This window comes from Homo sapiens, chromosome 2 (genome assembly GCF_000001405.40).
Source record: "Homo sapiens chromosome 2, GRCh38.p14 Primary Assembly".
Lineage (NCBI taxonomy): Eukaryota > Metazoa > Chordata > Mammalia > Primates > Hominidae > Homo > Homo sapiens.
The window spans coordinates 228,422,001-228,434,672 of NC_000002.12; the positions used below are offsets into that span (position 1 = coordinate 228,422,001).

The 12,672-nt window shown below is 38.2% G+C and overlaps 4 annotated features.

Annotated features, from left to right (window-relative positions):
- Positions 3,074–3,674: an enhancer, noted in NCBI's record as "NANOG-H3K27ac-H3K4me1 hESC enhancer chr2:229289790-229290390 (GRCh37/hg19 assembly coordinates)". NCBI's record gives its function as "activates a minimal SCP1, AML or CMV promoter by ChIP-STARR-seq in primed H9 embryonic stem cells {active_cell/tissue: H9 hESC(primed)}" and the evidence as "EXISTENCE:reporter gene assay evidence [ECO:0000049][PMID:30033119]".
- Positions 3,074–4,802: a biological region, named in NCBI's record as "MED14-independent group 3 enhancer GRCh37_chr2:229290319-229291518".
- Positions 3,603–4,802: an enhancer, noted in NCBI's record as "MED14-independent group 3 enhancer chr2:229290319-229291518 (GRCh37/hg19 assembly coordinates)". NCBI's record gives its function as "activates an origin of replication core promoter dependent on BRD2, BRD4, P300/CBP and CDK7 cofactors, and independent of MED14, by STARR-seq in HCT116 cells {active_cell/tissue: HCT116}" and the evidence as "EXISTENCE:reporter gene assay evidence [ECO:0000049][PMID:35650434]".
- Positions 3,675–4,273: an enhancer, noted in NCBI's record as "NANOG-H3K27ac-H3K4me1 hESC enhancer chr2:229290391-229290989 (GRCh37/hg19 assembly coordinates)". NCBI's record gives its function as "activates a minimal SCP1, AML or CMV promoter by ChIP-STARR-seq in primed H9 embryonic stem cells {active_cell/tissue: H9 hESC(primed)}" and the evidence as "EXISTENCE:reporter gene assay evidence [ECO:0000049][PMID:30033119]".

A 12,672-nucleotide genomic window follows, 5' to 3' on the forward strand; every position in this document is an offset into this window, starting at 1 on the left:
TGCGCTGGCCAGAACTTCCACCACTATGTTGAATAGGAGTGGTGAGAGAGGGCATCCCTGTCTTGTGCCAGTTTTCAAAGGGAATGCTTCCAGTTTTTGCCCATTCAGTATGATATTGGCTGTGGGTTTGTCATAGATAGCTCTTATTATTTTCAGATACGTCCCATCAATACCTAATTTATTGAGAGTTTTTAGCATGAAGGGTTGTTGAATTTTGTCAAAGTCTTTTTCTGCATCTATTGAGATAATCATGTGGTTTTTGTCTTTGGCTCTGTTTACATGCTGGATTACATTTATTGATTTGCGTATATTGAACCAGCCTTGCATCCCAGGGATGAAGCCCACTTGATCATGGTGGATAAGCTTTTTGATGTGCTGCTGGATTCGGTTTGCCAGTATTTTATTGAGGATTTTTGCATCAATGTTCATCAAGGATATTGGTCTAAAATTCTCTTTTTTGGTTGTGTCTCTGCCTGGCTTTGGTATCAGAATGATGCTGGCCTCATAAAATGAGTTAGGGAGGATTCCCTCTTTTTCTATTGATTGGAATAGTTTCAGAAGGAATGGTACCAGTTCCTCCTTGTACCTCTGGTAGAATTCGGCTGTGAATCCATCTGGTCCTGGACTCTTTTTGGTTGGTAAGCTATTGATTATTGTCACAATTTCAGATCCTGTTATTGGTCTATTCAGAGATTCAACTTCTTCCTGGTTTAGTCTTGGGAGGGTGTATGTGTCGAGGAATTTATCCATTTCTTCTAGATTTTTTAGTTTATTAGCATAGAGGTGTTTGTAGTATTCTCTGATGGTAGTTTGTATTTCTGTGGGATCGGTGGTGATATCCCCTTTATCATTTTTTATTGTGTCTATTTGATTCTTCTCTCTTTTTTTCTTTATTAGTCTTGCTAGCGGTCTATCAATATTGTTGATCCTTTCAAAAAACCAGCTCCTGGATTCATTAATTTTTTGAAGGGATTTTTGTGTCTCTATTTCCTTCAGTTCTGCTCTGATTTTAGTTATTTCTTGCCTTCTGCTAGCTTTTGAATGTGTTTGCTCTTGCTTTTCTAGTTCTTTTAATTGTGATGTTAGGGTGTCAATTTTGGATCTTTCCTGCTTTCTCTTGTGGGCATTTAGTGCTATAAATTTCCCTCTACACACTGCTTTGAATGCGTCCCAAGAGATTCTGGTATGTTGTGTCTTTGTTCTCATTGGTTTCAAAGAACATCTTTATTTCTGCCTTCATTTCGTTATGTACCCAGTAGTCATTCAGGAGCAGGTTGTTCAGTTTCCATGTAGTTGAGTGGTTTTGAGTGAGATTCTTAATCCTGAGTTCTAGTTTGATTGCACTGTGGTCTGAGAGATAGTTTGTTATAATTTCTGTTCTTTTACATTTGCTGAGGAGAGCTTTACTTCCCAGTATGTGGTCAATTTTGGAATAGGTGTGGTGTGGTGCTGAAAAAAATGTATATTCTGTGGATTTGGGGTGGAGAGTTCTGTAGATGTCTATCAGGTCCGCTTGGTGCAGAGCTGAGTTCAATTCCTGGGTATCCTTGTTGACTTTCTGTCTCGTTCATCTGTCTAATGTTGACAGTGGGGTGTTAAAGTCTCCCATTATTAATGTGTGGGAGTCTAAGTCTCTTTGTAGGTCACTCAGGACTTGCTTTATGAATCTGGGTGCTCCTGTATTGGGTGCATATATATTTAGGATAGTTAGCTCTTCTTGCTGAATTGATCCCTTTACCATTATGTAATGGCCTTCTTTGTCTCTTTTGATCTTTGTTGGTTTAAAGTCTGTTTTATCAGAGACTAGGATTGCAACCCCTGCCTTTTTTTGTTTTCCATTGGCTTGGTAGATCTTCCTCCATCCTTTTATTTTGAGCCTATGTGTGTCTCTGCACATGAGATGGGTTTCCTGAATACAGCACACTGATGGGTCTTGACTCTTTATCCAATTTGTCAGTCTGTGTCTTTTAATTGGAGCATTTAGTCCATTGACATTTAAAGTTAATATTGTTATGTGTGAATTTGATCCTGTCATTATGATGTTAGCTGGTTACTTTGCTTGTTGGTTGATGCAGTTTCTTCCTAGTCTCGATGGTCTTTACATTTTGGCATGATTTTGCAGCTGCTGTTACCGGTTGTTCGTTTCCATGTTTAGTGCTTCCTTCAGGAGCTCTTGTAAGGCAGGCCTGGTGGTGACAAAATCTCTCAGCATTTGCTTGTCTGTAAGGTATTTTATTTCTCCTTCACTTATGAAGCTTAGTTTGGCTGGATATGAAATTCTGGGTTGAAAATTCTTTTCTTTAAGAATGTTGAATATTGGCCCCCACTCTCTTCTGGCTTGTAGGGTTTCTGCCAAGAGATCCCGTCTTAGTCTGATGGGCTTCCCTTTGAGGGTAACCCGACCTTTCTCTCTGGCTGCCCTTAACATTTTTTCCTTCATTTCAACTTTGGTGAATCTGACAATTATGTGTCTTGGAGTTGCTCTTCTCGAGGAGTATCTTTGTGGCGTTCTCTGTATTTCCTGAATCTGCATGTTGGCCTGCCTTGCTAGATTGGGGAAGTTCTCCTGGATAATATCCTGCAGCGTGTTTTCCAACTTGGTTCCATTCTTCCCATCACTTTCAGGTACACCAATCAGGCGTAGATTTGGTCTTTTCACATAGTCCCATATTTCTTGGAGGCTTTGCTGATTTTTTTTTATTCCTTTTTCTCTAAACTTCCCTTCTCACTTCATTTCATTCATTTCATCTTCCATTGCTGATACCCTTTCTTCCAGTTGATCGCATCGGCTCCTGAGGCTTCTGCATTCTTCACGCAGTTCTCGAGCCTTGGTTTTCAGCTCCATCAGCTCCTTTAAGCACTTCTCTGTATTGGTTATTCTAGTTATACATTCTTCTAAAGTTTTTTCAAAGTTTTCAACTTCTTTGCCTTTGGTTTGAATGTCCTCCCGTAGCTCAGAGTAATTTGATCATCTGAAGCCTTCTTCTCTCAGCTCGTCAAAGTCATTCTCCATCCAGCTTTGTTCCGTCGCTGGTGAGGAACTGCGTTCCTTTGGAGGAGGAGAGGTGCTCTGCTTTTTAGAGTTTCCAGTTTTTCTGTTCTGTTTTTTCCCTGTCTTTATGGTTTTATCTACTTTTGGTCTTTGATGATGGTGATGTACAGATGGGTTTTTGGCGTGGATGTCCTTTCTGTTTGTTAGTTTTCCTTCTAACAGACAGGACCCTCAGCTGCAGGTCTGTTGGAATACCCTGCCGTGTGTGAGGTGTCAGTGTGCCCCTGCTGGGGGGTGCCTCCCAGTTAGGCTGCTCGGGGGTCAGGGGTCAGGGACCCACTTGAGGAGGCAGTCTGCCCGTTCTCAGATCTCCAGCTGCGTGCTGGGAGAACCACTGCTCTCTTCAAAGCTGTCAGACAGGGACATTTAAGTCTGCAGAAGTTACTGCTGTCTTTTTATTTGTCTGTGCCCTGCCCCCAGAGGTGGAGCCTAGAGAGGCAGGCAGGCAGGCCTCCTTGAGCTGTGGTGGGCTCCACCCAGTTCGAGCTTCCAGGCTGCTTTGTTTACCTAATCAAGCCTGGGCAATGGCGAGCGCCCCTCCCCCAGCCTCGCTGCAGCCTTGCAGTTTGATCTCAGACTGCTGTGCTAGCAATCAGCGAGACTCCGTGGGCGTAGGACCCTCCGAGCCAAGCGTGTGATATAATCTCGTGGTGCGCCGTTTTTTAAGCCCGTCGGAAAAGCGCAGTATTCGGGTGGGAGTGACCCGATTTTCCAGTTGTCGTCCGTCACCCCTTTCTTTGACTCGGAAAGGGAACTCCCTGACCCCTTGTGCTTCCCAGGTGAGTCAATGCCTCGCCCTGCTTTGGCTCGCGCACGGTGCGCACACCCACTGAGCTGCGCCCACTGTCTGGCACTCCCTAGTGAGATGAACCCGGTACCTCAGATGGAAATGCAGAAATCACCCGTCTTCTGCGTTGCTCACGCTGGGAGCTGTAGACCAGAGCTGTTCCTATTCGGCCATCTTGGCTATTCTTAACTCTAAATGAAAATCTAGGCTTTTACAGCTCTCAACAATTTTATGTTTGTATATCTCATGAAGAGTTTTTGTCTATATAGAAGGGTTTCTTTTTTAGTGGTTTAATACAATTCAAAATAACTTCACAGCTATATGACAGCAATGGAATTCTTGATATTTAAAAGGCATTCTTAATCGAGAGGATTTTGATACAAATACATGGCAAGTTTTATTGTTGTTCTTGGTGCTTTCAGGCACTTCATAAATACAAAATAAATGAAAACATTTCTCACTAAGTTTACACATAACTTTTGAACACATGAAAGTGTACTGGGATTAATTAGGGTATTTGAATGTAAATGGAAAAGGAGACGACAGAGACCTGTCTTTTATTTTTTTGGATAGGAACTTGCCAGAGCAGAGAAAGCACACTTGTTAGAAGTATTGAATATTGTTGGAAAATTCTCCTGTTTCCCCAGGTATATGAAAAATCTTCATCTCTTACCAACAATGAATGCAGTCAAAATTTTAGTTCAGTATTTACATAGTTGGAAAACTCTAAGAGCCTCAAAAATGCCTCTCTTGTTGGCTAAAGCCTTTTCAATTAGAAGCAGTCCTTGAGTTATCTCCAGCTGTTTATTTAAAGCTTACTAAAAACAAACAAATGAATGACAAAAATGGATGTGCTGCTGGCTGCCAACTTGATTAAATCACTTGACGGTAAATAACTTGGCAGTAACAGACTAATGGCAGAAAGTACACTCAATCAGTGATGCAAGTATTTATAGTGCAGGGACAGAGACTCCACAATGGCAGAGTGTCTTGTGTCAAACTAACCCTCCTGCTGACAACAATTATAAACTTTGGTTGAAATATAAAAAGCAACTATTTGAAAGTATTGGATGAATGTCCAAGGGAAGTAGAAACCAGAGGGGTTGCCAACCTTGAAAGAAGAAAATACCAGGTGAAATCCACTTTGAAATGGCCTTCTCCCCTTGAACACTCCCCTGTTACTGGGATTACTGGGGAGTAAGGGAACTAGGGCTCAAGCAGAAAGCAGCACTCTTTGGCCTGAGAAGTTAGAGAGCAGAGTTCAGGGGTTTCAAAAGCAGTAGGAAAGTAAGGAGAGAAACCATGGAAATTTCTGGTGTTTCTTTCTCCAGCTTTGATTAGGTCTTTCACATGCATGTGCCAATCAGTACTTAAACACTCCAGGGCACGCTTCTGCAGATTTTCCAAGCCTTCTCATTATGCAGCAACCTATTGGGCAGTGTTTTGTCCTGTGAAATGTAGCTACCTTGGTCTCCCCAAACTCCAGTGCAGTGAGATTGCCCACTCTGTGCTATGGTCTTGAAACTCCTTCCAGAAGGCAGTGAACTGGGCCAATGGTAGGGTTCACCTAATTTGTTTTCCTTCTCTCAGACATCGCTGGTTTGTACTGCTTGTTTTCTAATTTCTTGCCTAATTCTCTCTATTCTGCTTCTGGAACACCAATTACATGTATGTTAGACCATTTATCATTGCTTGACAGCCTTTAGAGGCTCTTTTCATTTCACTGTTTTGTGTGTGTGTGTGTGTATGTTTGTGTTTTAATTTGGGTAATTTCTATTGACTTAGCTTCAAGTTACTGATCATTTCCTCAGTTGTGTCAAATTTATTAATGAGCCACTAAAGAAATTCTTTATTTTTCCATTTGATCTTTCTTTGCATTTCTATCCCTCTGCTTAAATTTCCAAACCATTCATACATAATAACTATTTTTTCCACCAGATCTTCCAGGTAGTGATCATAGTCATTTTAATGTCTCTGTCTGATAGTCACAACACCTGTGTGTTCTCTAAGACTGGTTTTACTGATGACCATGTGTCTTGATAGTGGGTTGTTTTTCCTTTCATTGTTGTATGCCTCATGAATTTTTATTAAATCCCAGACATAGTGTATAGAGTAGTAAGGACTGAGGTAAAGAGTATTTACACCCAAAAAAGGTTTTTCTTTTCTTTTGTAAGGCGATTTATGTGGAGTGTTGAGTTGTCAAAGTTGAGCTGAGTTTGGATTTGTTGTTGCTATGGTTACTTTCTGTACACATAGGTCTCAAATTCCTTGAGTGTGTATTGTGCCTAGGCTGGGGGCTGAGGTGCCAGAAGGTGCCTATCGATGTTTGAATTATACCCTCAATGAATGAGGACACCGCAAGAGGATATCTATCCATGGCCTGCCCCTCCTCAGTGGCATCCTCAGTGCTTGGTCAGCGTCTGGTGGGAAGCATGGTTGGTTCTCTGTTTTCCTGGCCTATCCTCAAACTGACATAGATCTGTGCACCTGAGCTTTGCAGGTGAGGCAAGCTAGGTATTCATGCATCCCTTCTTCATTTCAGTCTTATTCCGATTTGAAACTGTACAATTTCTTATGCAGGAAACATTTCCCTGCCTCTTCTGCAGCAGTAGTAGTTCACTACTCATATGGATAAAATCCCAGGCCTAGGATCCTTTCTACCTTCACCCAGGGGTATAGAAGTGTTTCTTCTGACTTTCCGTTAGTAGCAATGGGTGAGCTGATTTCTTCTTACCTACTTCCTACATGATGGTGGGCACCTCTTCCTCCCATGATGATATGGTTTGGATGTGTTCCCACTCAAATCTCCTCTTAGAATTGTAGCTCCCATAATTCCCACATTTCATGGGAGAGACCCAGTAGGAGGTAATTGAATCATGGGGGTAGGTCTTTCCCATGCTGTTGTCATGATAGTGAGTAAGTCTCATGAATCTGATGGTTTTATAAAGGGGAGTTCCCCTGCACAAATTTTCTCTTAGCTGCCACCATGTAAGGCATTCCTTTGCTCTTCCTTCATCTTCCACCATGATTGTGAGGCCTCCCCAGCGATGTGGAACTGTGAGTCCATTAAACCTTTTTCCTTCATAAATTATCCAGTCTCGGGTATGTCTTTGTTAGCTGCATGAGAACGACTACTACACATGGTATGCCACAGGTGAGAAAATCCTATGTCCCCTTTCTTTTTAGGGAAGCCTGTGCCTCACTAGAATTTATTGTTCTTTGTTACTTTGTGTCCTTAGATCTCTGACAGCTTCAGAAAAAGTTATTACTTACTAGTTCATTTGAATTTTTCTTATTATTGGGTTGGGACAGTCTTTTCATCTCTTTACATGTTAGACAAAAATGGAACATTTGCCTTTCATTAAATGTATGTATTCCTAGATATTTGATGTTTCTTTTTGATGCTACTTAAAGGGTAATGTTTTCAATATTTACTGGTTATTTGTTGCTAGTATATAGGAATATAACTGATTTTTATATACTGACACTAAATTCAGTGGCCTTGCTAAATTCACATATTAATTATAAGATTATTCTTTGAATTTCCTAGGTACTCAATTCCTAGTCTGAAAATTATTTCTTTCTTTCTAATAATCGTAAATCTTGTTTCTTTTTCTGGTCTTATAAAGCTGCAACAACCTTTAGTATGATGTCAAATATGAATGGTGATAATGCAACATTTTCAGTCTCATGAAAAAGGTTTACATATTTCACCATTAAGTATCATTTTTTTGCTATAAAATTTCCTCAATATTCTTTATGGGATTAGATACTTATCTTTTATTCCAAGTGTATTAAGATGTTTTCTGACGAATGTATGCAGCTTTTCTGTACCTTTTCAGAAGATGACAATGCTTTTCTTTTTTATTGGGTTTACATGTAGAATAATATTGGGTTTTAAAATGTTAAAGCAGCTTTGCATTTTGTTAAAAAAAAACCTGCACTTTGTCATGACATGCTATTCTTTCTATATATTGCTGGTTTCAGTTTGCTCAGTTTTCGTGGAATAATTTTGAATTTCAGAATTCATTTCTGTTACCTTTATAGGTTTATTCACGTTTTCTACTTATTTCAGGTGAGTGTTGCTTTTTTTCTGTGCATTCAAATATTTATCTAAATTACAAAATGTATTGACATTTAGTTGTTAATATTATATTAAAGTGTTTCATAGCGTATACACCCATGTATAGATAAATAAATCTTTAAAAACAATTTTCAATATTGGTAATTAGAGCTCTCTCTCTCTCTCTCTCTCTCTGTCTCTCTCATCTTCCCTTCTCTTCTCTCCTTTATGCTGTCCTCTCTATTTTCTTTTAGATTAGCCTTGCCGGAGATTTATCGAACGTATTAGTCCTTTTAACAGGTAACATTTTGCCTTTGTCGCTTTTCTCTAGTATATTTGTTTTCTATTTCATTGGTTTCTACTTTTATATTTATTCTTCATTATTTCCTTCTGTCTACATCCTTTGGGTTAATCTGTTATTCATCTAAATTCTTGAAATGAACACATAGATCATTAATTTTTCAGCCTTTATTCTGTTCTGATTATGCAGCTAAGGCTATACATTTTCCTTTAAGCATTGTTTAGTTGCATCTACACATTTGATATATTTTCTATAGTTATTCATGTTAATTATTTTCTAGCTTCCACTTGATTGCTTCTTACAATCCTAGATTCTCTAGATGTATATTTCTTAGAGTCCAAACATTTGCTTTTCAAAAATACCTTTTAGTTATTGATTTTCAATTTTTATAGTATAAAACATACTCTGAATTATTATAATTTTTTTAGATTTATGAAGATTTGCTTGACTGAGCATCATATGGATGATTTTGGTAAATGTTCTATGTGCACTTGAAAACTATATATATTTCACACTATAGAGTTTTAACTGGGACAAAGTGATAAATGACAGTGTTCAAATTTTTTTATACCATTTCCTGTTTTTCTTTTCTACTTAAACTCCTAGTTACTGAGAAAGGTGCAGTTAAAATCTCCCAGTATAACTATAAATTTATCTAGTTCTCCTTTTGGTTGATCAAATTTGGCAGAGTTCCATATTTGTAAATGATAACATATTTTGAGGCTTTTTCATTATGTGCATAATAATTAAGATTTGAATAATGTAAGTAGTGAGAATTAATCATTGGTTTCAGCAATATGGAACTATTGGTGACCTTAACAAAATTAATTTTATTGGAGGGATGAGAGCTAAAGATTGATTGGAGTGCAATCAAGAGAAAATGAAAAGAGACATATGGAGACAGAAGTTATAAACAGATAGCTATATTCAAAGATTTGTTTTTTTAAGTAGAGACACAGAAATGTGATGGTAGATAGAAAAGAAATGTTGGATCAAGGGAGGCTGCTGTGTGGTGTGTGTGTGTGTGTGTGTGTGTGTGGATGTGTTCAAAGAGAAAATTTTTACAGGATGTTTTTGTGCAGTGGGGAAAGAAATCTGCAAATGAGGGAGAGAAAAGGACTAATTGAGAAAGCAAGCCCTTGAGAGGGTCGGAGACCCAGTGTACAATGATGAGCAGTTTATTGCAATACAAAGGAAGGAAGAGAAAATGGATACTCGTATAAGTAGATTGGTCAGTTGTGGTGGAAACATGTATGTATTCTTCTCATTTAAAAATAAAATTTTCTGTGAAATAAGAAGCTCATCATCTGAGTATGAGGGGAGGGGATATTGGGGACTGAGTGTAGAGGAGAATTTGTGAAGTAGTTTTACAAGGTGGTAGGAAAATAAATAACTCAGAAAACGAAGCAGGATGGCAAGTCATCAGTGACGGCCTCCTGAAGGTTGGTTGTCATGATGCAAAAATGGGACCAGTTGCATGTCTCTCAGATAGCATCATCTCCACAGCTGAGAGGGCAGATGATAAATCAGTGGGCAGGCTATGGTTTTCCCTTCTCCTTCTTGATGAAAGTTCTGCTCAATGTCTGGAAGCTTATCATACTAGGGCCATCCATTTCTTGCCTCATTTTATTGCCATTTGCTGGACCATAGATTTTGTGACTACTGTAAATTTCCTGTAGATTTTGGATACTGATTCACTCTCAATCCTAATCCTGAGTGTTGCAAAATCTTGATTTTTTAAATTTCAGTAGGAATTTAGGAAGGATTGAGAAGGTGTCTTTAACAGATGCCACTTTCAAACAGAAGGAAGTGAGGAGACTGATTTATTAGCCACCTGACAACACATTTCTACTTTGTGAAAATGTATTACGTTGTCTTGCAGAAATACCTCATGCAATCACCATCTTACCATCATTTTTTTCTACTTTGAACCTTCATGTGTCCTTTTCACTGAATCATTAATTACCAATCCAATTGTGACTCCCCCAGAGCTGCTTTTCATGGACTCAATGGATATAGCTCTTCCTTGGAATCCAGGGTCATCTAAAAGTCAACTCTTCTTCGTGATGAGATAGTTCTATTTTTGTGTTAACTTAAAGTGTCTGAAAAGCTAATTTATGTGATAGATTAAAGCAACAGAATAAAAAACACCCTAGGCACAGTCATTTCACATGGTGCAACGTATTTCCAGAATAAAACAACTTTTATTTCGACACGATATCCTCAGGAGCATTGGATACTGTGTGGCTATTAAGTCCTTCACACATCATTAATTTCCAAGCAAGAAGGTGATAAATCTCACCACAAAACTAGTTCAGTACACGTAGGAAAATAACAGATATGATATTATTTTTGACTTGATCACAGACAGTAGTTTAAAAGAAATACTTAATTTTTATACAAATTCAGCTAGATAAGAATAATATGATCTATGCTAAGGCCACTGATGTTATAGGTTCAAACATCATCTCCCCTACTCCCCTCCGTCTCTTATCAACAGATCCACTTGGGGCCTTAGTTTACTTTAAAAATTCCATGAAGACAATCTTTTGCATGTATTTCATAGATTCAATTTGCACATTTAGAAGCAAGGATGATTGCTGTTTATGTCCTTCATAATTACCTTCTTTTATATAGGAATGTCTGAGCATAGTTTTCATTTTATACTAAGTCAGAGACATCCCTGTAGAGGGTTTTATTCTGACTTCTAAAAGACTATAGTATTAGCTACTTCTATCCTCTAGCCTGCTATAGCTTGAACCCTTAAAGCCTTTCCAAAGAAGAAACATTTGTTGACAGTGCTGCTTGGAATAGAAGGGCTAAGACCAATATTGAGTAGAAAAACCCAAGTTATTGATGACCTTGTGGGTTTCCTTTGTTATATAAGATTTCAAAAGAGTTTATAGCATCAGTAAAACGATTGGCATTGGTCTAGGCAACAAATCTCTTCCTAATGTTATCTTTGAAATATTATGTTTTTAAGAAACAACATAAAATATTCAACAAAACAGAAAAAAATTATACAATTGGTACCTAGTTGCAGATTATTCTTCCCTCATGACATTTGAAAAGCAAAAACCAAATTTAATATAGAAATGACTTAAAAACCTTTAAAGAAAGATCAACATGAAACCTTTTCCATTTTACATTTATGTAATCACTACCTAAATGAAACAGATGCTAATTAAGATGCAGGAAGATACATTTTCATTTCCTTGTGTTGATTTCTAGCATAATGGTTGCTCACTAAAATACAATCAAGAAAATGTGTCCTGTAGCTTGAATAACTCAAATCAGCTTTAATGCAAGAGAACACAAAGTAAGTGAAAACATTGATTGTGGAAAGTTAATAAAAGTAAACACAAGTTCACAAAAACCATTATTCTTGAGTTTGAACTCATATCAAATGCTGTATTTTCCATTTCAATTATGCAAGTCTTTTTTAGTACCAGCTGTATTATACCAGCCATGGGCATCAATACAATTATTGATGGTGATAACAGAATAAATTACCTAGCAGGGAAAATGCAAACCAAGAGAGTTAACAAAAATGAACCTATTTGTCTATATGACCCTTGGTGCATACACTACCATAAGGAAAAATAAACAACTTAGTGGACCTGGTATTGCATAATATGAGAGAGATCATAAGGAGAATGATTTAAAGGCAGGTTTCAAGTAGTCTTCTAGATATTGTGACATAACAGCTTGGAAAGTTTCTGTTATATTACACAAGTGTAATTGAGGCACTGTTGCTAAATATTCAGTTCCATCTGGGAAGTATAAAGAAAAAGGATCCCTAATGGTGCATGCTTAGCAACTTGTTTCTTTAAAAATATGCAGCACACTATTACTGATTGTGCTGAGCTGAGATTCTATAACTCATATGACATGAAATGCAAAGCAGCTATTCACTGGTACTGGCATATAAACATTGGAACATCCCACGCAACCCACTTTATGCAATTTGTTCATTCATTTATCAATGATTCAGCAAACACTGATGGATAACTATGGTGGTTAATTTTAGGTACCAACCTGACTGGATTAAGGGATACCCAGTTAGATGGCAAAGCATTACTTCTGGGTGTGTCTGCGAGGGTGTTTTTGTAGGAGATTGGCATGTGAGTCAGTGTCTGTGTAGGGAAGATCTTCCCTCACCCAATGTACGTAGGTATCATCCAATTGGCTGGGGGCTCAGATAGAACAAAAAAGAAGAGGAAAGTATAATTCATTCTTTCTCTCCTCTGAGCTTGGACATCCTTTTCGGACATCAAAACTCCAGATTCTCAGGGCTTCAGTCTTGGTCTGGGAGTTACACCATCAGCTTCCCTGGTTCTTAGGCCTTCAGAATTGAACTGTGCCAAGTTATCATCTTTCCTGGTTATCTTGCTTGCAGATGGCTTATCATAGCACTTCTCAATCTCCATAATCACATGAACCAATCCCCCTAATAAATCTTTAATATT